This window comes from Homo sapiens, chromosome 5 (genome assembly GCF_000001405.40).
Source record: "Homo sapiens chromosome 5, GRCh38.p14 Primary Assembly".
Taxonomy (NCBI): domain Eukaryota; kingdom Metazoa; phylum Chordata; class Mammalia; order Primates; family Hominidae; genus Homo; species Homo sapiens.
In genome coordinates, this window is record NC_000005.10 from 170,663,656 (window position 1) to 170,689,056 (window position 25,401).

At 43.8% G+C, this 25,401-nt stretch overlaps 1 protein-coding gene and 1 long non-coding RNA gene across 7 annotated transcripts in view; one reads left to right on the forward strand and one right to left on the reverse strand.

Annotated features, from left to right (window-relative positions):
* The window catches only part of KCNIP1-AS1 (KCNIP1 antisense RNA 1), a 42,313-nt gene extending 24,498 nt beyond the window's left edge, over window positions 1-17,815 (reverse strand). The window contains exons 1-4 of the long non-coding RNA NR_136214.1: window positions 17,498-17,815; window positions 16,855-17,171; window positions 15,273-15,605; window positions 14,752-14,907 (exon numbers count right to left, since the gene is read on the reverse strand). This is a non-coding gene — a long non-coding RNA (KCNIP1 antisense RNA 1). The remainder of the gene's footprint in view (window positions 1-14,751; window positions 14,908-15,272; window positions 15,606-16,854; window positions 17,172-17,497) is intronic.
* KCNIP1 (potassium voltage-gated channel interacting protein 1) overlaps window positions 1-25,401 on the forward strand; it is a 383,146-nt gene that overhangs the window by 310,169 nt on the left and 47,576 nt on the right. The window contains exon 2 of one of the 6 annotated variants that reach the window (NM_001278340.2): window positions 5,844-6,005. The exons of the other annotated variants lie outside the window; for them this stretch is intronic. The gene's annotated coding sequence lies outside the window, so the exon portion shown is untranslated. The remainder of the gene's footprint in view (window positions 1-5,843; window positions 6,006-25,401) is intronic. 6 annotated transcript variants of the gene reach the window in all.

Here is a 25,401-nt window from a genome sequence, read left to right on the forward strand (position 1 = left end):
ACCCACATCCTGGTCCCCAAACCAGAGGCCTGGGAGTCACCCTTGACATTTCCTCCCCTACACCCCTAATCAATCAAATCCTGTTTATCCTGCCCTCTGAGAGTCTGCACCGAAATCTCTCTCCTCTCCTTCCCACCTACCATGGCCCAGCAGCTTTACCATCATGTCTCACGGATCTCTGCACCGCTCCCAACTGGCCTGTGCGTTCACTCCTGCCCCCTCCTCCAGCCCTGTGTACACTCCCTTCCACCATCCTTTCTATACTCTCCTCAATCCTATCTGCACCCTCCTTCAACCCTGTCTGTACTCTCCTCCAATCCTGTCCACACACTCCAAACAAAGTCATATTTCCAAGACAAATTTGACCATGCCACTTTCTCCCACAGCTCTCCACCACCTCCAGGATCCCATCCTCAGTGTTAGCCAGACACTCCCAAGGCCTTGTGATCTGCCCTGCCTATGTCTCCAGCCTCATCCTGCAACTCCCCCTACACTCTGTGTTCTGGCCATCAAACCAATGGGCTCCTCTTCCTGCACCCCCATCCACTCTTGCACATCCTGCACTCTATGTCTGAACAGCTCGGTTTCTCTTCTTTTCTTCTGGCACATGTCTGCTCTACCTGCAGGTCATCTTAGATGTCACTTCTCCTAGGAAGGCTTTCCTAACCTCCAAAACAGGCTCAGTTCCCCTCTTCAATTCTCACTGAGCCTCCTCCCTAGCATTTCCCTCTCTGCATTATAATTCCTCCCTGTGCAAGTGCTCATCTCCCCACTGCACTATAAGATCTAGGAGGGTAGAGTCTGGGTCCCATTCGTTTCTGTACCCTCAGTATTTAGTAGAGATGGGGTTTCACCATGTTGCCCAGGCTGGTCTCGAACTCCAGAGCTCAGGCAATCCACCCGCTTCAGCCTTTCAAAGTGCTAGGATTACAGGCATGAGCCACCACTCCCGGCCCTCTGCATTCTTCTATTTAAAACTATTTATTGAGATCTACTATTGGCTAGATTTCGGGGATGAAAAAGGCAGACAAGGCGCCCTGCCCTCAAGGGGTTTTCAGTTTAGTGGGGAGCAAAGCAAAAAGACAAACAAACAGTTAAATATAACATCTAGTAGTGATAAATACTCCAAAGAAAACTAAAGCAGGGGCCAGAGAGCATGGGGGCATTGATGTTTTAGACAAGGTGGTAAAGGGAGGTCTCTCTACAGAGGTGGTATTTCAGCAGCAGCCCGAGCACTCAGTAGGTCCATGGTAAAATTTAGTTGACTCCCGAACTAACTGAGTGTCTCACTCAGTGAAAGCCTCTAATCCATTTTGCTAGAAGTCTTTCCCTGTAGCTCATTTTGTTCCAAGTCACAAGCATCAGGCTTGGAAGACCTGTGTGGGAGAGTAATTAACCTAATACACAGCGCGGGGAATGGAAGCCCGAACCCCCAGAAGCCTTTTCTGCAAAAGGACCAGGGCTTGGGTAATAAAATGGGGCTTTCATTCTCATTAATGGGGCAATTGATTTAAAGAACAGACCCAGTGGCTTATTGATCAGTGTTAATCATTAGAAAATGCTGACTTAATGAATCTAACTGCCATGAGGCCCCTGTGGGATTTGGGAAGGCCAGTTAGATACAATAACTTTGTCCCCTTCCAGTCCAGCAGACAGATTTATTTACAGAAATCTGGATTTTTTTTTTCTGGAAAAAAAGTCAAAGAGTCACTGGGGGTTAAGCCATTTCTCCAGCTGATCTGAGAGATCATCCCAAGCCTTTGTAATACGCCTGTCTCTCCTGCCATGCTCTGTTCCTATCTAGCTTTTCAAAACAAACTCTTCATTTTAGAATAGTTTTAAATTATAGTTAGAGAAAAACTTCAAAGATAGTAAGAGAGTTCCCATATCCTGCACACCTGGTGAGCCCCATTGGTAACAGCTTAGGTTAACACTGTCACCACTAATGGACAAATGTTGCAATATTATTATTTGCTCAAGTCCATACTTAACTCAGACTTCCTTAGTTTTTACCTGAAGTCCTTTTTCTAGTTCAGGATCCCACATTCCATTTCGTAGGCATGTCTCCTTAGACTCTTCTTGGCTGTGACAGTTTCTTAGGCTTCCCTCTGTTTTGATAACCTTGACAATATTAAGGAGATATTGGGCAGATGACTGTAGAATGTCCCTCAACTGGGTCTTATCTGAAGTTTTTCTGATGATTGCACTGGGGTTTGGGGAGGAAGAGCACAGAGGTAAAGTACCATTCACATCACATCATTTGAAGAGTGCATGTTATCAACACGACCTATCACTGCTGATGGTGACCTCGATCACCTGGCTAAGATTGTGTTTGTCAGGTTTCTCTGCTGTGAAGTCATTTTCCTCCCTCCCCTCTTACACACTGGGCTCTTTGGAAGGAAGTCACTGTGTGCAACTCACACTGAAGGAGTGGGAAGTTAGAGATCCTCCTTGAGCGTGGGCCATCTTCATGAATTATTGGGAATTATTCTGCATAAGAGATTTGTTTATATTAATATGAGCTCATGGATATTTATGTTGACACTTTGGGTTATAATCCAATAGTATTTTACTTCTTTTCTTGCTCAAATTACTCCACCTTTGGGTACTGGGGCTCTTGCAGTTGGCTCCTATGTCCCCGTCATTGAGGGGTTTGGGTTTTGTGTGTGTTTGCGTGTGTGTGTGTTTGAGCACTTCTTTACTGTTGGCACCAAAAGATGCTTAGGCTTGCTTTGAGCATCTCCTGCCCTGGCCCTGGAGCCACTCCAAGGAACCTCCAAGAACGCCTGATTCCTTTTATTACTGGCTCCTATTATAATTTTCATAATGGGCTGTCATTTTGTTTTGTCTGGTTTTGTTTATAATTATAAGGGTAAGTCAGCTCATTGCATAAAATATAGCAAAGATATAAAAGAATAAGAATGAAAATAAGTATCCCAAATAATCCAAGCAGCAAAGAAATCCAGCGTTAACATTTTGGGGTATTTTCATCTGGTCTTTTTGCTAGTTGCTGGCTCTTAAGAAGTCTGTGCTTTCATTCTTGATCTCTGCCAGACCAAGGGATATCATGGGCCCTGGTTTACCTCCCTGTCCCAGCATCTGTGGTTGGAGCAGCTTCCATTTGGCCATCCTCAGGTGGTCTGCTCGCTGGGCCCCTGCCCACTTCTCCCTCCAGCAGACCGCAGGCCAAGAGGCCAGGAGCCAGGGTGTGTCCTCCAGCAGACTCTGAGGAAGTGAATACATCACTGTTCTGTGACTTCCAACGTGATAGTTGGCCTCATTTTCCTCTTCTTTACGAAGTAAATGCGATAATATATACAAAGTGCTCAGAGAAAGGCCTGGTAAGAAACAGGTATTTTAAAAAGTAAAAACTGTCGGCTGGGCGTGGTGGCTCACGCCTATAATCCCAACACTTTGAGAGGCCGAGGTGGGCGGATCACGAGGTCAGGAGTTTGAAACCGGCCTGACCAATGTTGGAGAAACCCCTTCTCTATTAAAAATATAAAATAAGCTGGGCGGGGTGGCAGGCACCTGTAATCCCAGCTACCCGGGAGGCTGAGGCAGGAGAATTGCTTGAACCTGGGAGGCAGAAGTTGCAGTGAGCCAAGATCGTGCCATTGCACTCCAGCCTGAGCAACAAGAGTGAAACTCCGTCTCAAAAAAAAAAAAAAGTAAAAACTGTCATTATTATAACCATAATTACTATTAGCAATCTGAAGAAACACATATCTAATGATAGAAGTTCAGGCATAGTGTGGCAGGCAGGCCCCTGGGAGGGATGAATTTGCACAAGCAAACTGCCTTCTCCATGGAGACCTAATGAAATTCATCCGGTCCTTCTTGAGAGTTTGACTGAGTTGGGAACTGTGTCTCCACCAGACCAGCAAATGGAAGAGAAGTTTCCTGGGGCTCTAGCTGAAGAGTGTGTACTGAGGGGCAGTATTGCATTGTGGTTGAGAACATGGGCTCTAGAGCCAGGCTGCTCAGGTTCAATGCCCAGCTCCATCACTTACCTGCTGGGCAGCAGCCTGAGTTATTTAAACCTCACTAGGCACAATGTAAGGATAACAATATTGACTATCCCATAAGGTTGCTGGGGATGCCAAATAAGTTCACAAATGGAAGAACTTTACACAGTACCTAGCACAGAGTAAGCAGCCAATTAATATTACTCGAGTTACTGTTTTTATTACTTCATCATTCGGGACTCTTCCGGTTGCAAGTACAAGGAAAGCCAACCCAGAATCACTTAAACAAAAGGGAATTTATTGGCTCATGTAACTGAACTTCAACATTTTACAGAATCTCATTGGCTCCAATGGGCTCATACGTCCATCCCCAAACCAATCACAGTGACTGAGGGATTATCCAAGGATCACACTGGCCACTTTCACAGGTTTTATCCCTAAAGGAAATCACAGGTAATAGATGTGGGGCTGCAGAAATGCAACATGCACTTTTCCTTGAAACTGCATCCCTTTTCCCTGAAGATGAAGCTTGAAAGAACTCTAAGAGGTTAAGCATGGAGCTGATGGGCAAGCCACAGGCAGAAAGAGTAGCTGTGCAGCCAGGCTCCTGGCCAGGGAGGGCAGATAAGGAGGGGAGGCAAAGTTTGGTAAACAGGAAGCTAATCTATGGGCAAGAATCATTTTCTTCAGCATCCTGACCTCTCCTAAAATGTTCTCCACTGGTCCCTGCTAGGACAAAGGAATTACCACCAGACTAGAGTCAGGAGTCCTGGGCTGGTTCTGCTGTATGACACAGGACAGGTGGCTTGCCTGGTCTGGGCCACAGCCTCCTCCCCTGTTGATGAGCATGTTGGTTGTTCCAGCACCATGTCAGCCCTAGAAATCTCTGAATTCTTGACCAGATCAGTAATTGCTCTCTTGCGTTTACTTTTCCTTCAAATAAAGAGATTGGCATACAGGGGAGGAGCCCAGTACAGACGGCATGCTTGGCTCAGGTTCCAGAACCCAGAAACCAGACAAGAGTTGGGAAACCATGATGGTGGAGGAGGGTGTGCCACTCCTTACTAGTGCCTAATCTCTTCGAGACACTAATGTTTCAGTATTATCCACAGATTCTGATGCCAGGCAGCCCAGATGACTGGGGTCAGTTATTAGCATGCTTCCTGGAGGTGGTTCCCAGGTGCAGGCTACCTGCAGTCTGGCTGGATGGGCCCTGCACCACACTTGCTTCTGGGAAGCTGGTTTTGGGGTTGCCACAATCTCTGAAAGAATCACTAGGCCACCCTCTGAGTGGGTCCTTCTGTAGGAATTATGGATAAAATTGTTCCACTAGTCTTACCTTCTTGGGGAACCCTTCCTGGATTCCCAGGCTGGGCTGGGTGTCCCTGCAGCCTAGCCCCACAGCCCTCCTGCTTCTCTTTCTCATCACAGTCTTGTTATCTCTACCAACTGTAGGCCTGCCCCACTGATGGTGTGAATAAAGGGACTGGGTCTCTCTAGCACCTAGCATAGATCTGATACATAGTGGGTGATCTCTATTGAATGAACGATGAATGAATGAATGAATGAATACATTTAGATAATTCAGATTACTCTTTCTAGCTCAGCAGTGTAAAGCAGGAAGACATGCTGTCAATATGATTTAGGGCAAGTTTTCAAATCTCTCTGGACCTCAGTTTTACCTCTTGAAAAATAAATATAATAATTTGTCCTTACTTCATGAGACTATTTTGAAGATTAAATGAGATAATGTATACACTACTACTCACTGTCCTTACTTGAATATTCCTAGGTCCTTGGTGCTACATTAGGCTACATAGAATGTATTTAAAGTAATAGAGTGGTATTTAATAAATATTCATTTTCTTTCCCCAGAACTACCTTAAATTAATTTGTTGAAAGGACAGATGGATGGATGGTTGATGGAAGTAGCAGGCTTCCAGCAGCAGGGGATGGAGTGAGTGTGTGGATACCGCTGGATCAGCAGAAGGTTATACCATTTTAGAGTAACTATCTCGGACTTCGGAGAGTTCCTGGGTATGAAGGTTTGGCTTTAATTAAAGTCTCAGCACAGTGTTAAATGCCATTTTATTTTAGGTCATAATTAACACTAATGAGATGAGTGGATTACAAAGAGCACACATTTTGAGAAAGTGAAAAACAACATCTGAGCTTGGTGGTTTCCATTTTCGCTTTTCCCCCTCCCATGCTCTGTTCAATTAAAAGTTTTGAGAAAATATTACAACCATACTCCTTGTCTTTGTGGTAATGAAGCATATTAATTTGAATGTGATGAATACAATATTCCACTGACTTTTTTATTCCCTTATCTACAAAAGTTTAAAATAATGGACCAATTAAACCAGGAGAGAAGAATGCAGGGTTTGCCTGGGGATCCAATTCAGCAACCAGAGAACTGAAAGAACAAAATTTTTTGACGGAGTCTGGGCCAGACTTCATCCCTTACCTATAGCTGACAAACAGTAAGTCAAATTGGGCAGATGTGGACCAGCGCAGAACACATACTATATTGAGGATCGAAAGGCCAGGTTCCAGACCGTCCTCTAATATTTTCTTAGTGAATATTTGTTGGATGAATGCATGGATGGGTGGATGAATAGATGGATGGATGGACAGATGGACGGAGAGAGAGATGGATGAATGGATTGTTGGATGAAGTTGAAAGATGAAGGTAGATGACCTCCCATGGTCTGATTCTTCCTAAGGTAGCAAATTAAGCCTAGGATGGGCTGACCTAACCCTTCCAAGGACTTAGAAGTCAGGGCAAGAACTTACAGGGAAGGGTTCAGTTCTCTGACCTCACTACCCTAGAGGCATAAACTATAAATTATAGAGTTGGCCTGAGCTCAGTTTCCCTGGGAGCTCTGCTCTAAAGCAGAGCCCCTTGACCCTGCACCAATTTGGTTAACCCGAGTAAGGCTGAGCTTCCCCCAGCAGGAGCTCCTGCTTTGGAAGAGAACATCCTGGGCCAGGCGCAGTGGCTCACGCCTGTAATCCCAGCACTTTGGGAGGCTGAAGCGGGTGGACCGCCTGAGCTCAGGAGTTCAAGACCACCCTGGGCAACATGGTGAAACCCCATCTCTACTAAAATACAAAAATTTAGCCAGGTGTGGTGATGCAGCACACCTGCAGTCCCAGCTACTCAGGAGACTGAGGCAGGAGAATTGCTTGAGCCTGGGAGGTGGAGGTTGCAGTGAGCTGAGATCACACCACTGCACTCCAGCCTGGGCGACAGAGTGAGACTCTGTCTCAAAAAACAAAAAAAAAAATAAAAAAAAAAGAAGAGGACATCTGGAGCAGGCCTGTGAACCTGACACATGGTCCAGGTGTCTCCCTGAGGACTTCTGGAAGTCTCCCCACCTCTCTGTGGTCCTTTAGGCATTAACACCACCTTGTCACTGTGTCTTCTGAGGCAGTCTGGAAGTTCATACCCCACAATCTCTGTGTACCTTGTCCCCCATTCTGTTCTCTGCATTGCAGATGGTTTAAAACACACACACATACACGCGCAAAATGTTGTTCCTTTTCTTAAAACCCATTGTGGCCAGGCTAGACAAATCCTTAACACGGTCTACAATATTCTGCATGGCATGGCCCCTGGGTGCCTCCCAACCTGATCTGTCACACACCACCTCCACCTTTGCCTGTTCCCTGGGCCCTAGCACTAACCTTTGGTTCATTCCTAGACACCTTTTCAGCACTTAGGCCCCCACAGCCCTCAGAACCTTTACACTTGCTGTCTCTTTTGCTTTAAATGTTCTTGCCCCACCTACCACCTAGTTAATGCCTTTTCCTCCTTCAGCTCTTAGTTGAAGCATCACTTCCTCAAGGAGGGCAGCCCTGATGAAACTCATTATGCAAACTCCAGCCTGGGTTGGGCCTTATCTTTATGCTGTCATGGCCCTGAGTATTCTTCCTTTATGGCACCAATCACGGCTTATATGATATACTTATGCTATTATTTGAGTTATGTCTGTCTCCCCCAGTATGCCACTAGTATTAGAATCATTGATTTTTAATCATTGTATCCCTAGTGCTTAGCACAGAGCCTGGCTCATAATAGATGCTTAATAAATATTTGTTGAATAAATGAATGAGTGAATGAATAAATGCCTCATTCAAGAGCTTTGGCTCTTTCTGTACTACTACATTACTTCTATTTTTTAGCTCTTAATTCTCAAAGCACTTTCTTTGTGCTGGGCTTATGCTGGGAGCTTAGACAGTAAAGCTTAGATGGTAAACTACAGTTGCTCTCAAGCAGTTCACAATGTAACAAAAAAGAGACACAAATACACAGTGACAATACAGTGTGTCGAGTGCTACAATAGATGGAGGGGTGCAGTTTTATGGATGTGGAGAAGAAATCCTTCTATTCCTCACTGGAGGCTTCACTAAGGAGATATTCCCTAAGCTGCTTCTGGAAGGAAAAGGTATTGGCCAAGAAAATAAGGGTGGAGGCAGAATTTCAGGTGAAAGGACCAGCATATGCAAAGGCTCAGAGGGCAGAGCCTGGCACTGGAAACAAAATGCAAGTCACTTCGTGGACTGAGACCTGGATGAGGACATGGGGCTATGAGAGATGAGGCTGGGGAGGGAGACAGGGGCCAGATCACAGAGGCCTTTCAATGACAGCAACATATGGCAGCTGCAGAGACAGCATGGAAGGGACTGGCATGGTGAGACCTGTGATATGGAGAACTCCCTCTCGAAGGGGTTCAGAAAAGAGATGTCCATATTTCAAGTGAAGGACTTCCTCCCCTGGAGAAACTGAGGCTCTGCCCCAGGGCTGTCCATCAGACTCCTTCCCAGAATCCAAACGCTTCCAAAGGATGTTCAGTGTGGCTGACCTTGCTTATTCATTGTGGGGAGAATTAATTTCAGGGTGGAGAATTTTAAAAAAATATAAGATTAAGCAGTGTAATCAGCTGCTGCTGAGAGTTGCAAATGCAATAAATAATAATAGCATTGAGAGCTGTTTTTAATAACTCACCAGTGTAATTTAGCCTCGGCTTCTTAGAGCATATTTAAAATATGTCATAGTGTGTCTAATGGCAAATGCCTCATTGCCAGCCTCTGAAGACAAATGTCTTCCCAGGAGGGAGGGGGGCAGAAAATAGAGGAGAAATTGGAGGATTTGATTGCAAACAGGGTGTAGGAAGGCAAGCATTGTTCATTCTGACACCACTAATTCAAAATCTGTGATCTTTGCCTAGGCAATAGGTTTTAGTTGGTTTGTCTTCAAGGGTGAAACAGATGGATAGCAATAATATGGTAAAGGAGATATTTATAATTTGTAAGAGAAGAGGTTGTTTTCAGAATCTATAGAATCACCATTTTCATGCAGTCCATATTCTAATTACAGATCATCCTGGACTATCTATTATAGCAGGTCCCCAGGCAACTGATATCTTGACAACATTTGTTTTACTTAGTTGAGTTACTAAATATTCATGATACCATGAAAATGTGTTATTTAAAAGTGTTCGATGAATTCTGAGTTTTAGTAATTCATATGTGCTGTCCCCGCCCAACCCCGATTAGTCTAAACTGGTGAGATGGGGCTAGGAGTCCTCCCCTCTTGGGTAACAGACTTGACACAGTTAAAGTGAGACAAACTTTGGAGTCAGACAGACCTGAGTTCAAATTCTAGTTCTACCACTTACTAGCTGTGACCTTTTGCAGCTTAAACACTGAGGCTCTATTCCCGATCTGTTAAGTGAGAGTGGTGATGATGACGACCATGACAGCTAATATTTATGGATCGCCTATTGTGTTATCTCCAACACAACGATACAGTGACGTAGGTCTACCATGGTTCCTGTTTCACAGATGAGGAAACTTGAAGCTTAGCGAGCTCAAGTAACTTTCCTGAGGCACAGGGCTAGTGAATAACCACTCTGGGACCTAGTATCTGTTCTAGCTGGTTTCAAAGCCTATGCTGTTAAGTGGGCTCTGATACTATCTTGTACAGTTGGGGGAAGATTTGAGAAGACATGTGTAAGGTATAGTTCCTGGTATGTAATTAGGACTTTATAAATATCTCTTATATGGAAGGACTGAATGTATCTTCCTGGGCTGTGTCCTCGCAGGGAGATATAACATCTATGTCACTCTCAACGCTTTATTAATGTCCCTGTCACTCTATACCCTTGTCCAAGTTACTCCACACCCTCCAAAGCCTCAAGTTTTTAATCTGTAAAATGGTGGTGGGCGGAGGTGGGGAGTGAGCGCTCTTACACATACTACTAGGTTGGGGGTAAATTAGTAAAACAACTTTGGGAAACAATTTGGCAAGACTTAGTAAAAGGTGCATAGATCCTGTGACACAGCAGTTTTATTCCTGGGATAAATGCTAAAGCAGGTTGTCTCCATCTCTGCACTACTGACATCCTGGGACAGATATTTCATTGTGATGGGGGCTGTTCTGGGCATTGTAGGGGATTTAGCAGCATACCTGGCAATTTATTCCCAAGAGGAAAGCAATGAGGAAGGAAGGAAGGAAGGAAGGAAGGAAGGAAGGAAGGAAGGAAGGAAGGAAGGGAGGGAGGGAGGGAGGGAGGGAGGGAAGGAGGGAAATATTTAATAGTTAAGTTACATCCACAGGTTTGATTATAAATGTGTGTATTGAATTGGAATTTCTGTTGAAATTCTGATCCCTTCTAGACAAAGAAGGTAAAAATTGAAACATGTCAATGGATATCTAAATATCATTACTCACTGGCTTTATTTGCAAATGGCTTTCCATTGACAACAGTTACATTTTGTTCAAAGCAACAAATGATTGGCGCTGACAATCCACAGGAACATGGTGCAGTCATTAATGAATGTGCTCATTATTCCTCCCTGCCGGGAGGCATCGACTCCCGTTCTCCAGCCTGTTTTAAGCAGACAGACCTACATCTGCACCTGTCAGCTTGGAACCCTAGTAGGGGAGGGGGATGCTGATGTGATGGAGAATGAAGAATGGGCCCTGCAGGCTGACATTTTGGGAGAGTAGGTTCTGAAATTTATCCCAAAGGACATGGAATCCTGGAAGCAGGGTTCAAGATCCTCCCAAAATTGATCTCCCAGGATGCTTGGAATGATTGTTCCGAGGGTTTTGTAAAATGCCAGGGGAAAACCAGGAAGCTTCTCTCCAGTTGTCTTGCCTCCTTCCTCTCCAGTCTCCATGGAGCTGACTTTGAGAATTAACTCCTGAGGGACAGAGACCCTGGGATGGAGAGCCAGCCCTGCTGGATTCCACAAGGTGCTGCTTAAAGCACAACACCTCTTCCCAATGACAGGTTCTGAAAGAAGGCCTTGTAGCTAGATGCACAGAGGGTTTTGTTTTGTTTTTTTTTTTTTAACCTTTCAGCATCTGTCTAAAATTGCTCTGGGCTGGGTACAGTGGCTCCCACCTGTAATCCCAACACTTTGAGAGCTGAGGCAGGAGGATCGCTTGAGCCCAGGCGTTCTAGACCAGCCTGGGCAATATAGTGAGATCTCTATGTCTAGAATGTTTTTTAATTAGCTGGGCTTGCTGCCTGCACCTGTAATTCCAGCTACTTGGGAGGCTAAGGTGGGGGGATCACTCGAGCCCAGGGGGCTGAGGCTGCAGTGAACCATGATTACACCACTGAACTCCAGCCTGGGCAACAGAGTGAGACCCTGTCTCAAAAAATATATATATATAAATAAATAAATAAAAATAAATGGCCAGGTGCAGTAGTTCATGCCTGTAATCCTGGCACTTTGGGAGGCCAAGGCAGGCGGATCACGAGGTCAGGAGATCAAGACCACCCTGGCCAACACGGTGAAACCCTGTCTCTCCTAAAAAATACAAAAATATTAGCCGGGCATGGTGGCACGCACCTGTAGTCCCAGCTACTCAGGAGGCTGAGGCAGGGGAATCACTTGAACCCAGGAGGCGGAGGTTGCAGTGAGCCGAGATTGTGCCACTGCACTCCAGCCTGGCAACAGAGCAAGCCCCCATCTCTAAAATAAAATAAATTGCTCTGTAAGTTGACACCACTAAAAACATCATTAGTAGTTGTAATAATTAAGATAAAGGAGAAAACTGTGCAGAGCCCAGCACAGTGCCTGCTCCATGGAAAATCCTAATGACATTTAGTTTCCCTCTCTTTGCCCCCATTTTCTTATCTATAAAACAGAAATAATGCTGTATCCTAACTCAAAAGTTGATTATGGAGAGTGGCATAGTATTGTTTCAACAAATATTTATTGAGAAACTGCAACACGCAAATAGATGTAAAAGGTTGAACAGAACTTTGCAAATTAAAAATCCTAAAGGACATTTTAGACCTTATGAACTTCCTAATAGGTAAGACTTTTTAATCTATCTGCAGTGTCCAACAGGTGCAAGAGCTTGGGCGGACTGTGAATATCTAAGAAAAGAGAGAGAGCAGAAAGGAGGGAGGAAGATGAAAGAAGGAAGGGAGGAAGATGAAAGAAGGAAGGGAGGAAGAAGGGAGGGAGGGAGCGAGGGAGGCGGGGGAGGGAGAGAAGGGGGAGGTAGGGAGGGAAAGAAGGAAGGAAAGGAAAGGAAAGGAAAGGAAAGGAAAGGAAAGGAAAGGAAAGGATTACAGGTGGGAGGGAGGGAGGAAGGGAGATATCATTATTATTGTGCAATTGTTATCATTATATAACTAATTTAAACAAACCCATCCTGTGCCCACAAAAGGGCACCAAGATAAAGGCTAAGATAAAGAACACACGAATCATTTTCCCATTTTCGTCAGTGATGGGAATGGTAATGATTTTCTCTCTGAACCATAACCATCTTGCAGTTAAATAATTGCTTTCTGATAGAATCAGGAGCTCTGAGATGGTGCTCTGAGGAGTTCTTTCATTTCTTTCGCACCTTTTAAAGAAAAGAAAACTTCAAGTGCAATTATTGGCATTATTTTAATACCGACTGCAGCAGAACATTCTGGAAAATGAGGCCCCTATCAAATTAGTTTTTCCAAATGAGGTTTAGACAGTACCTTACCAGGAGAACCACTCAGAAAGCCCCCATGGCAGCAGCAAGCCCTGTTGAGTCAAGGGCACATGGATGTCACACTGCACATGTGTTTTCAGATAACTAAGTGAACTGCTCCGATCTTGTGGGTCATTGCACCACGGGGCCTCTCCATTTACTTCAGGTTACACAGCAACAAGCAAGCTGAGAGCAGCAGAAGTAGCTAGCTAAAATTGCATTTGATTTTGTGACTGCTAGAGGCCAATACTCAAGTGAAGTTTAAGCAAAAACAAATCATACTCAGCTGAAAACATTTGCCTGGAAGAAAGATCTGTGGCTGGAGAATTGGAGTTCATGCACCCAGCAATTTCCAGAGGAAGTCTGATTCCCCTACCTGAAGTAACACTCCTTCCTCTCCCCAGATCCAGATCTCCAGACTATACGTACTCAATATATGACTTGTCCATGGGGCCCAGCTGAGCATTATTGCCTCTAGCTTATGGTTAATAATAACAGTAATAATTATACTAATATTATTCTTTCTATGCATAATTACTAATTCATCTTAATCTCACAACTCTATGAAGTACATACTGTGAATGTCTCTGTTTTACAGGTGAGAAAACTTAGGCACAGAGAAGTTAAGTAACTCATCATAGTCACAGAGCTAAGTAGGAGGCAGAGTTAAGAGTCAATGTAGGCTTCTGACCCAGAGATTGTGCTCTGGACCTCTGTGCCACACTCCCACTTACTGGGTATCAGGGACTGTGCTGAGCAGTTTATGGCATCATCTCATTTTGTTATTGTAACAACCCTATGCTATGGGTATCAGTATTATTCCCAGGTAAGGAAACTGGCTCCTTTTGGAGCTTGAGTGACTTATCGTGGTCACACATCTAGTAAGTGGCAGAGATAAAATTGAAACCCAGAGCTAAAATTGTTTGGCAAAAACTTGGCATTTGTGATTGTGACCATCTTGGTTTCCAAGACGCCTGGGGGACTCTGCAGACCATGGCCAGTATTCATTTGTCAAGATGCAAGGACCTAAACTGGAATCCAGTCTTTTATGATGTCTGGATCATAACAAAAGTCAGGTATCTGCTCCATGAGGCCAGCTAATCCCCCCACAACCCCACATCCCCCTGACACACATCATCCTCACCTAGAGAAACCTTTTCACAAATAATCAAACCTTTGTTTCTTTAAGGCAAATGGACCTAAGGGGAAAAAAAAATGCCTGTCAGTATTGATAAGGAATTGAAGAGGACCAACAATGTGAAGATTCTTGGCCAAAAAAATAAAATAGTAATTTGGGACAAATTTAGTAAGAGAAATATCAGAATCTATGCAGGCTCACATCTCCAATACAAACATATTCACCTTACACTCTATATGGAAATAGTAAAGAGCAATTTGTGAAATAGATTCCATGAGTGCCCCAATTAGGGCAAACATTTCTCATCAAATGAAGGATGGAACTTCAATAAAGATTTCAAAGCTGGTTACATGTAGAGAGATTTGTGAAGAAACCTTGTAGCTCTGATGGAACTGGGATGTGAGAAGAAGGCAGGTTTTCTGATAAACAATTCCTGTATCTTTCACAAATGCCAAATCACAGACTCAGCTTGGGACATATGAGGACAGCACAGACTTTGGAGGCAGGTAGATTTTGGGTTGTCACGCAGACACCCACTACTATGAGACCTGGATTTCCTTCTGACGTTATTGGGGATAAGAAGTGGCACCTCACCATTTCTAGGAAATAGTAGGTAAGTCTTTCTGGTTGCCACTGAGGTGACTCACCTGAGACACAGTTGCTCCTAAAGTTCAAGGTTAGGAGACAATCCAGAAGGGGAGCTGTCTGTGAAGTCAGAATTCTTGGAAGAATGTAAGTCTTTACACAGTAACAGCAAAGCAGACAGTGGGAACCACTACTCTGCCTTCTTGCATCATTCTTTCCTAGAAATACCAGAAAGCAGTGAGGGATTAAGTCTAATTCCTGGCACCTGACCTTATATCTAACAGATGCTCAGTATTACCTGTTGATGGGACCTCACTGGGAATGTTTTGTGTGCAGTACAAAAGGGCAATAGATGAAACTTTGGGACGGGAGCCCAGGAAAATGGCTGAGAGGAGAGCTTATGCCTAGCTTATGCATGAGCTTGCAAAAAGGGAGAATACACGGGAGGGAAGATCAGCAACAGCATGAGTTTTATAAGGCAGAGAGTTGTTGGGAAGGAAGCAGCAGGGAGAGGGGAAGGAGTAAGTAGAAACCTAGAAGAGATACAGCTAAGATAAGCCAAGAGAACAAAGTATTGACTTACCAGAAACATGGAAGTCTTCCTGCTTCTAATTTAGTTCCGCATATCTGGATATGTGAATGCCTAAAATCCCATTAAGCCCAGTGGGTTAATTATTACACTTGCTAGGGCCCCAGAGGAGAGGAAACACAGTAAGTCAGAAAAACCTCTGGGCAGGTGAATTTCTCAGGTTTTCTTCTGGGCAGATGGGATCTGGAATGGTAGCGTGGCATCCTGGTAATTCAGAGACAGTGGGGAGGGTGAAGAAACACTGATGTGTAGCATTTCTGTGGTGTCAACACCCTACCATGGCTGATTTCAAGCTGACAAAGGTTTAGCAACTGCCTTGCTGATTTCCTGAAAATTTAACAATTAGTTTTCATGAGATGCAGTGGGCTGACCCCAGGACATCACTGCCTACACGCCAATGAGAATGGAGATTGACACAAAGAACAGAGTGGAGAGACACAGAGCAGGGAAGACAAGATTTTCCCGAGTCTCAATCCAATATGTAGACTATGTCTCCCTTTTCACAAAGAAGGAAGGGGAGGAGAGACCAGCATTCACATTCAGTTATTGTTGTTTTAAATCCATTACGCACATACATAGGAGAAAATTTCAGCAACAGTCACCCTCTGAACCCAGTTCCTCAGTTCTCTCCAGAGGCAACTAAAATGCTCAATTATTAGTGTATCCTTTTGGAAATATTTTATGTATATGACAGTGTGTGTGTGTGTGTGTGTGTGTGTGTGTGTGTGTTCCTTTCCAATATTAAAATAATATTAACATTGGTAATAGTGGTACTAAACAACTTAGGGTGTTTTTTTTTTCATTTAATAGTATATTTTTAGTATCTTTCCAGGAAAAGATACATGGATGTGCCACATTATTTTTAATGGCTCACATGGTACTCCTTTTATGTATGCACTATAATTTATGGAACCAGTTTTCTCACCGATGAGCATGTAAGTTCTTTCAGTCTTTTACTGTTATAAACGAATGATGCAATGAATATCCTTGTACATATATATTTGTGCGCATATGTAGGTATCCTTACAAGTGGAATTTCTGAATAAATGGATATATACAATTTATTTATGAATTTACCTTCCTACAAGTGATTCAAGAGAGTGTCTTTGCTCCACAGTGTTGTCAATATAGTGTATTCTCAAAATCTGACACCAATATGTGTGAAGTGCCTGCTCTGTTCCCACACTTTACACAGGTTCTCTTATTTGCGTTAAGTTTATTTAAGAAGAGGAAACTGGGCCTCATGGAGATCTAGGAACTTGCCCAAGGACAGGTCTCTGTGACTCTAAGAGTGCAATCTTCCCTTTTCCCCATGTCAAGCACCTTTCCCCACCAGGCTCACTGCTGACAATCCAGTGTACGAAGAAGGGAAATTACCCCCACAGAGCCCAAAAGTTTAGGACATGCCGACAGCATCACTCTTTTGCCTCCTCATTCTCTCTTTCATTTCCAGAACATTTGCTCACTCAGTGCTGCCCAGTGATACTTAGCCAGCCTGATTACCCATCTAATAATTTCTGATACTAATATAAAACCTTCCCAAAGACAAATATAACTGAGACGCACTCCAGCTTACCATAGCTTTCCTGGTGGTACAGTTTCCAGGGACATTTCACTGTGTCAAAGCAGGGACCACATATGTTCCAGACCAGCTTGTTGGGTTTTTCACTGGGAAGTGAAGACAAATTGTTGTCCCTTTGAAAAAGCATCTTTCATCTCTCCATCTATCTGCGATCTAAAGCAATGGGGCTCTTTCTGTATGTCTTTCAAATGGTCTACACTGACACACGTTTTCTCTGAGCTGCCGAGAGAATATGCCATGAGATGTTGCCAGTGATGGTTACACTCAGCTAGCAGAAGATTAGGGACTGGTTAAACCTTTGGAGAAATTGCCTTGGGAAAAGAGGAAATAAAAGCAAATATTACTATGAAACATAGAGATTACCAGGTAGGAGGAGGAGAGAGGTGGAGGGAGGGGTAGGAGTGGAAGGAAGGGAGGGAGGCAGAAAGAGGAAGGCAGACTGGTGGAAAATAAACCGTGCACTTTAGAACAGCAGGAAGGGAGGCTTGGAAGCCTGGTTTTCTGGCTTTGAATGACCGCCTAGCGCTTGCCGGTGCGCCAGGGTGCTGTGAGGATGTGGGCAGAGGGCGAGTCCGAAGGGCTCCAGACACTGGGAATAGTGGTGGTCGTGTGCTCCTCCCTGAAACTTTTGCACTACCTCGGACTGATTGACTTGTCAGACGGTAAGCGAACCCTGGAGCTTCCCCGTTTTCTGTGAATGTGTTTTTGTGGCTTCGGTTGCTGTGACAGTCGTTTCGAAAATGCACGGAAATGAGGGCGGAGACCCGAGAGATTTGAAAAAGCCGGGCTGAAACAGCGTGGTATTGGTCCCCGCCTCCCCAGTCGCGCCCCAGTGCTGCGCTGTCCGTCGTGCTGAAATGTGGTGCGCCTGGGGAGTGCGGGAGCCAGGAAGTTAGGGTCTCCTGCTCCGGCCCTATGAGCATGTGAGTCTTGATGGATTATTAGCTATGGGTGAGGCCAGCACAACACATCACAATTCTCTCTGAAGCTGTCTGGTAACTACGTATATTGTTGATGGAAGCCAGTGACTTTTAAAAGCCATTATGTTGATTAACTTTTTTAAAGAAGTTTAGGAGATTATATGGAGGTAAAAACCTTTGTAAAATGCTAATCACAGTGTCTGACAATTAGAACACATTTAATAAATGTCAGTTTCTTTGCTCAACCCTTATAAGAACCCTTATTCCAAAGCCACCTCCTCAGCTCTGACTTCAGCTCCATTCCTTAGTGAGAATGGGGTTATAAATCCAGGTTAACCCGATTGTTTAGGATTAGAAAGTGATTTGGTTTCCAACGTTGAAGGAGTTCAAGAAACAAAGAGTTTTATTTTTCCTCCTTATGAGATATTGTTCCAAATAGAACACAGTTTGTCTAGATGATTTTTGTCACTTAAAATTAGGCTCCAGGAAAGATTCCAAATTTCATGAGCAATTGGGCTCATAAAACAAGATCAAACTCCAATAGTGTATATCCAAAGTATGTATAATGTGTATTCGGTGTATATTCTTCCACCACTGCATGGTGTAGACAGAATTTCTCTTCCAAGGGGCACCACATGACAAAACCGTACATAATAATGAAATGCATTTGTAGACAAAGGACTAGCTAAAATACCAACTGAAAGTGGGAAGACCAGAAACTGAAGTGTAAGATGAGGTAAGCCCTGGAGTAAGAGTCAAGAAATCCACTTTCTATCCATAATCTGTCTCGGTTTAATGTTGGTCAAGTCATTTTTTAAAAAATTCTAGGTCTTGGTTTCCTTATGATGACTTTAGATCTCTGTTCCTTGGAATTCTAGAGTGATCCAAAGGTTTCTTTGAATTCAGTTTTGTGGGTTGAGACGGGCAGCCAGACTGTGAGTCCCTCAGCTCTGCTTCAACCAGAACAGCTCCACTTTACTGTTCAGCATGTTAGCCCTGTATGTAAGGATGTTTTTTAGCTTTAGCTAAAATTTAGTGACTCTATGACCCTAAGGCCCTGCTTCCCTGAGATTTTGAAAGCTGAAGCACATTCGGAAAACTTTTTCTTCCTTAAAAATCACCTGAAATCTGACAATCTGGAAGACTAGTTCTGTCTGCTCCAGCCCTTGGTCCCTTAGATGTGCTTTTCTGAAGATCCAAACTCAACCTGCCAGTCAATATACCAACTGAGCAGAGCCCCTGTTCTCCACCAGATTTCAAGAGAACATGTTCCATTCCTGTTCAGAGCTTCAGAGCAGCTTCCGCTAAGATTGCACATTAATGCAACAGCGTCCTATTTTCTTTGTTTCTTTTTTTTTTTTTTTTTTTTTTTTTGATGAGACAGGGTTTCACCATGTTGGCCAGGCTGGTCTCAAACTCCTGACCTCAGGTCATCCACCTGCCTTGGCCTCCCAAAGTGCTGGGATTACAGGCGTGAGCCACCGCATCTGGCCAAGCTTCCTACTTTCTTATAAGGCTAAAGTTGCAGTAGAAATATTCCCCTGCTCTTCCTTTCCATATCATAAGTATCCATCTTCCTTCCCCTGCTTTAACTTCTCATGATTGCAGTTTTTGTTTTATTACAATAAAGGATATCAATCATTCATCTAATGTTATAGCAATGAGGGGATTTAAGGTGAAAGGTAGAGAACATATGTTGAGAACTGTTTCTGGAAACTCTAGGTGAAGAAAAAGAAGGGAATTAACATTTATTCAACACCTACAATGTGCCAGGTACAGTGCTAAGTGCCTTTATATACATGAGTTAATATAAACCTCAAAATAATGCTCTAAGGAAAACATTTTAAATAATGCTGAAGTTAAATATCATGATTCCTTTTATATAAGGAAGAAGACAGATTTAGAGAAGTTAAATAAAATTTCCAAAAATGCAGCAATAGCAAGGTGGAGGTATTTGTCTCTAAAATTTCACCCTCTGTTCTGTACACCAAGTACCTCAGCAAGTAATCCAGTTCCAGATGGGATCTGCAGTCTGCCATTAAGTCTTTACCACACATAGGCTCTTATGCTAGAGCCCTTACCATATGGTCCAAAATGCCATTTTTAATGTGTATTTGATATGGAGACTCTGTTCACAATTTGAGTACTAAAGAGAGAATACCACCTCCTAGTAGATACACCAGGACCAATGTAATGCTGTCATTCTAAGGAGAGCAGTGGAACATCTCCAAAGAACCCATCTGTAGTCTTCCTTCGGCCCTTGATCTTATTCCTATTTTATTTTTAAGGTTTTTTTTTTTTTCTTCGAGACTAAATCTCACTCTATCACCCAAGCTGGAGTGCAGTGGCATGATATCAGTTCATTGCAACCTCTGCCTCCCGGACTCAAGCGATTCTCCTCACTCAGCATCCCAAGTATCTGGGACTACAGGCATACACCACTATGCCCAGCTAGTGTATGTGTGTGTGTGTGTGTGTGTGTGTGTGTGTGTGTGTGTGTTAGTAGAGACAGGGTTTCACCATGTTGCCCAGGGTGGTCTTGAACTCCAGAGCTCAGGCGATCCACCTGCCGAGGCCTCCCAAAGTGCTGGGATTACAGGCATGAGCCACAGCGCCTGGCCAATCTTTTAGGGATAATTTTAGAACAGTATACAGATATTGAGCCAAGAGTCAAAAGAGCTGGGTTGCAATTCTGGTTGTGCCATTTATCAGTTGTGTGAGGTGGGACAAGTCTCTTTTTCTCCCTAGCTTTCTCTTTCCTCATTTATAAAATAAAGAAATGAGAATGATAGTTGTATTAATTTCTGAGGACTGCCAGAACAAATTACTACAAACTGGGTGGCTTAAAACAACAAACATTTATTCTCACATAGTTCAGGAGGCTAGCAGTTTGAAATCAAGTTCTTGACAAACTCCCCTAGAGTCTAAAGTCTCTAGAGAAGGATTCCTCCTTGCCTCTTCCAGCTTTTGGTAGCTCCAGTGTTCTTTGGCTTGTGGCAGCATCACTCCAATCTCAGCCTCTAGTTTGTGGTAATGTATTATGACAGTCTTAGGAAAATAATACATCAGTATTTGGAAATGTTTCTTCATTTGCCACAATATGATATCAAATAAAATACATCCACTTAAAAGTTCAGGTATGGATACACCCATTGATTTGGAATGCTAGTGAATGTAAAGGCTTAGGTCAACTTCTCTCTGCAGTTCCAAGGAGGATGAGAAATAGCAGCCTTGACCTCCCACCAGCGGGAGTTTCCCTCCTTCATCCCTGGTCACTGGCCACACAAGGACCTGGCATCTCCCAGTAAATGTGTTCCTCTGCAACCTGAGCCACAAACCTCTCTCTCTTTTATCTCTTTCCTCTTTCTACCTTCATATTTGGTTGGCTATTTTTAGTTCTTCTGCAGATATAGTTACACTTTAAATGACACACAGCCTTTAATTACTTACATGTTGACTTGAAGCAATGTCTGTTGCTCACCTTCTTGGAAATATCAGAAGACAAGAACACTTTTACTTCCTCCTCCTTCTCCCATCCTTCTCTCTGTCTACTTAATCTGTTTATCATATTCTCATTTTTACACCATCAAGGTTTATAATGCTCCCAGAACATACCTCCTTCAAGGTAAATGGGAATGGTAACCTTTGGCCTCTCCTTGCCCATAAGGACAACCCAGTCTCCTGCTCTGCGTGGGTTCCCAATTTGGCCCTAAGACTTTTCTGTTTGTATGATCAGCAAAAGGACATCAAATACTTTCCATCCTCCAATGAGCAGAACACATTCTGTGGTCAGAAGCCTTCTCATTACTTCTGATCTCAAAGGGACATCCAGAGTTGCCCAAACCCAGGCCAACCACCCTTCCATTTAGCCACAGCCTGAAGATCCCAACTATGATCAACAAATAAGACTGACTCCAGATCCCACTCTGCCAACTGCCTACCTAATACCCAGACTCTTGCAGCTGAGAGAGTCTCTTCTAAAATCCAGCCCAAAAGGCACACTAGATGTGAGGACCAGAATATCTTGTATTTTGTAGTCTATTATAGCAAGCATAATAAACTTATTTGTTTGAGACCGAGTCTCACTCTGTCGCCCAGGCTGAAGTACAGTGGCACGATCTCAGCTCACTGAAACCTCTGCCTCCCGGGTTTAAGCGATTCTACTGCCTCAGCCTCCTGAGTAGCTGGGATTACAGGCATGTGCCACCGTGCCTGGCTAATTTTTGTATTTTTAGTTGAGACATGGCTTCCCCATGTTGACCAGGCTAGCCTCGAACTCCTGACCTCAGGTGATCCACCCACCTCGGCCTCCCAAAGTGCTGGGATTACAGGTGTGAGCCACTGCCCAGCCGATAAACTTTAAAATTACTTTTTCTATTCCATATCATAGATTCTGGGAGGAAACAAGGCCCAATTTGAGTAAAAGCAACTGCATTTAGCTGGCTTGAACTTCTTCAGAGAAAGAACAACATAAAATATTCAGCTCATCTGATTTTTTAATGACATTTCCTTTTTATTTATATTCAATTACACAAGTAATACATGAACAGATTCTCCCTTTTTTAAACCATCCCTTATTCTACAGATCAGGTGAAAGTACTTGTTGCTGGCCTGTACTTCCCATCCCCACTTTTGTCCCCAGGACAAAGTACTATCAGGATACTAGCATTCAGAGTGAGCAGATTCCTAGTACTGACATAAGGAGGATCACCATCTAATTTTTAAATTTTAAAAAATGAACACAAAGTCTATTAGAGGAATGAAATGAACCTGCTTTGTAGGTACATAATATTTCTCTCTCCAGAGAGAAAGGAGGAGAGCACACATAAGATAGGAAGATGAGAGCTACAATAAATGAGAGAAGAGAGAAACTGTCAGAAATAGCAGGGCAGAAAGAGGGAAAGAGGTGAGAATGAGAGAGAGGGGGAGGGAGGAACAGAGGAAGATGCGAACAAGGAGAGTCACTCAGTTCTGAGGCAAGCACTTGATTCTCCGTGGTTCATTTGGGTATCCAAGTAAGTTATTTCCTATAATCATTGGCCTTTAGGAGTCTGCTTAGCTAATTAACAGTTTGCAAATTGCCAATTGTTTTTTGTCCCGCATTCTCCAGAGACTTTACACTGCAAAGGCAGACCACAGCAGCCCACCTTACACTTGAGTTGTGGCCAAAGCACCATCCCCACCAGACAAAGCCAGCCCCACAGCTGACCCCGGCCTGTGAGTGTCTGAAAACTGGCTGTAAAGAACATTCTGTCTAGTTACTTCCTCAGTAAACTCTGGGGCTGGGCACTGGAGGTTTTCTGAAAGGAAGTGTTTGGTGTCTCACACAGCCATGTGCTTAGTATATTCCATGCAGCACTCCACTGAGCCAGTGCCCTTGAAATGAGCAAGCACTGCAGCCATCCTCCTTTATTTCCCTCAAGGCAATATCCAAGGATTAAAAAGTCAGAGCCGTCTGCAGATTCCTCCTCTCTACCTTGCCCTGCACTTTTTGTGCCCTTCCTCTTCCCCCTCTCCAGCCCCAAACCTCTCTCCTGATCCACGGTACTCCTCCTGGGATGTCCACTGGGGCTGATCCTCCCCCATTCTCCCCCTGAGTTCCCTGCTGTTAATCTGTCTCCAGCAAAATTAACCTAGCCTATGTCCCATGCCCTCTGGACTCTGGCTGCTCGTCAATCACTCTTAAAAATCCGGTTTCTCCTTAGGCAATCATTTTGTTTTGATTTTATGTGTAAAAAAACCTGAGTAAATTTTTTTTTTTTTTGAGATGGAGTCTTGCTCTGTTGCCCAGGCTAGAGTACAGTGGCATGATTTCTGCTCACTGCAACCTCCGCCTCCCGGGTTCAAGCGATTCTCCTGCCTCAGCCTCTTGAGTAGCTGGGACTACAGGTGCCCACCACCATGCCTGGCTAATTTTTGTATTTTTGGTAGAGACAGGGTTTCATCATACTGGCCAGGCTGGTCTCAAACTCCTGACCTTGTGATCCACGCACTTCGGCCTCCCAAAGTAATCACTGCTGGGATTACAGAAGTGAGCCACCGTGCCTGGCCAAACCTAAGTAAATGTTTTAAAATTATACTACTAACATAGCATACAGGCTTTAGACTGTTGGTTGCTTTTAAGTTTGCTTACTTTAAAAGCTAGAGAGAAGATGGTTGAGGTGATCTTGTCTCCTTCAGTATTCACTCTGAGCCATGCCTCCTGAGGAAGTTTGCTTTAGGGGAGGCATTGCTATGTTATACACTCTACGATGCACCAGCCCTTGCCTCAGAAGGCAAGGTTTGAACCCCAACACTGTCTTTTGCAAACTGTTACCTTAGGAAATAGATTTTATCTCCTTAACTCACTTTTTACATTTGCAAAATGGGTAAATTGTGACTACCTCACATGGATGTCATGAGATGAAATGTAAGAATGTGTGTCCCTGGCATATAGTAACCACTTTCGCCAAAGACTGAGTTATCCAACTACAGACAGAGAACAGCTGGTGGCCTAATCAAAGGGAGATACAAAATAACAATGCCAAGACTGGAAAAGGAAGTTCATCTTAGGATTTCCAAGAGAAAAAGAAATATGACTGTATTATAATAGGTATATTTATTAAGCTCTTACCATGTGCCAAGCAAAGTTCTTTATATACATGATATACTTCATATACATTATTTCATTTAGTCCTCATGGCTACCAGGTGAGCACCATTATTTTCCCATTTTACAGATGAGGCACAGAGAAGTTAAGCCACTTACCTAGGAAGGGCAGTCCTAGTTAAGAAGCTGGGATTCAAATCCAAGAGGCTGGATTCCAGACCTCAGGCTCTATTATGAGAAGTACCTAAATAGAGATTGGTTTAACCAAAGCCTGAGTCCCAACTAAGGGCAAGACTGTGACACAGAGGTCACTAATCAGAATGAAAGATTGAGCCAGAGTTGAGTTGTTGGAATGTATTTTGGTACATTTAGGTTGTTTTAAGTATATCAATCTCCATTCCACTCAATGGTTGAGTTCAGTTTCAAGTTTTCCAAATGCTTTATGGGAAAGTCATATTTTTCTCCCATTGCAGCAGGGATGCCAGCGCAGCCATGCTTCTCAACCACCAAGTAGAAGCAAAGCCAAACTGACCCAAGAAGATGAACAGAGGGAATCCAGGGAGTTCCAACTTGGGTTCACAGCTGCAATTCTCAAAGGATGGACTAAGCCATGTCACCCCTCCAGATAACACAGTCATATTAATAGTGACCTTTTGGAGGCCTCCCTAAACAGCAGGTGAAGTCCCAAAATCATTAGATTATTCCTGGCCTCAATTGTGGCCCAGAGGGAGAGCCCTAAGATTTTTCCATGGGAACAAAGATCTAAATTCTGGGACTATCTGGGCCATGTCCACCCTGCACCATTTACTACAAAATGGGCTGATCCTATGGAAGCACACTACCTGTGTTGTGGTCATATAGATCATCACCTGGCTTCTCCAGGGCTAACCAGTTAGCATGGAAATGGGACACCCAAGAACAAGAGGATAGAAAGAAGGGAAGGGTGGAAAGAAGGAAGGAAGAAAGGGTGGGAGGGAGGGAAGAGTGGTAGTTTTGGAAGGAAGGAGGGAATCAGAGCTAAAGATAATACATG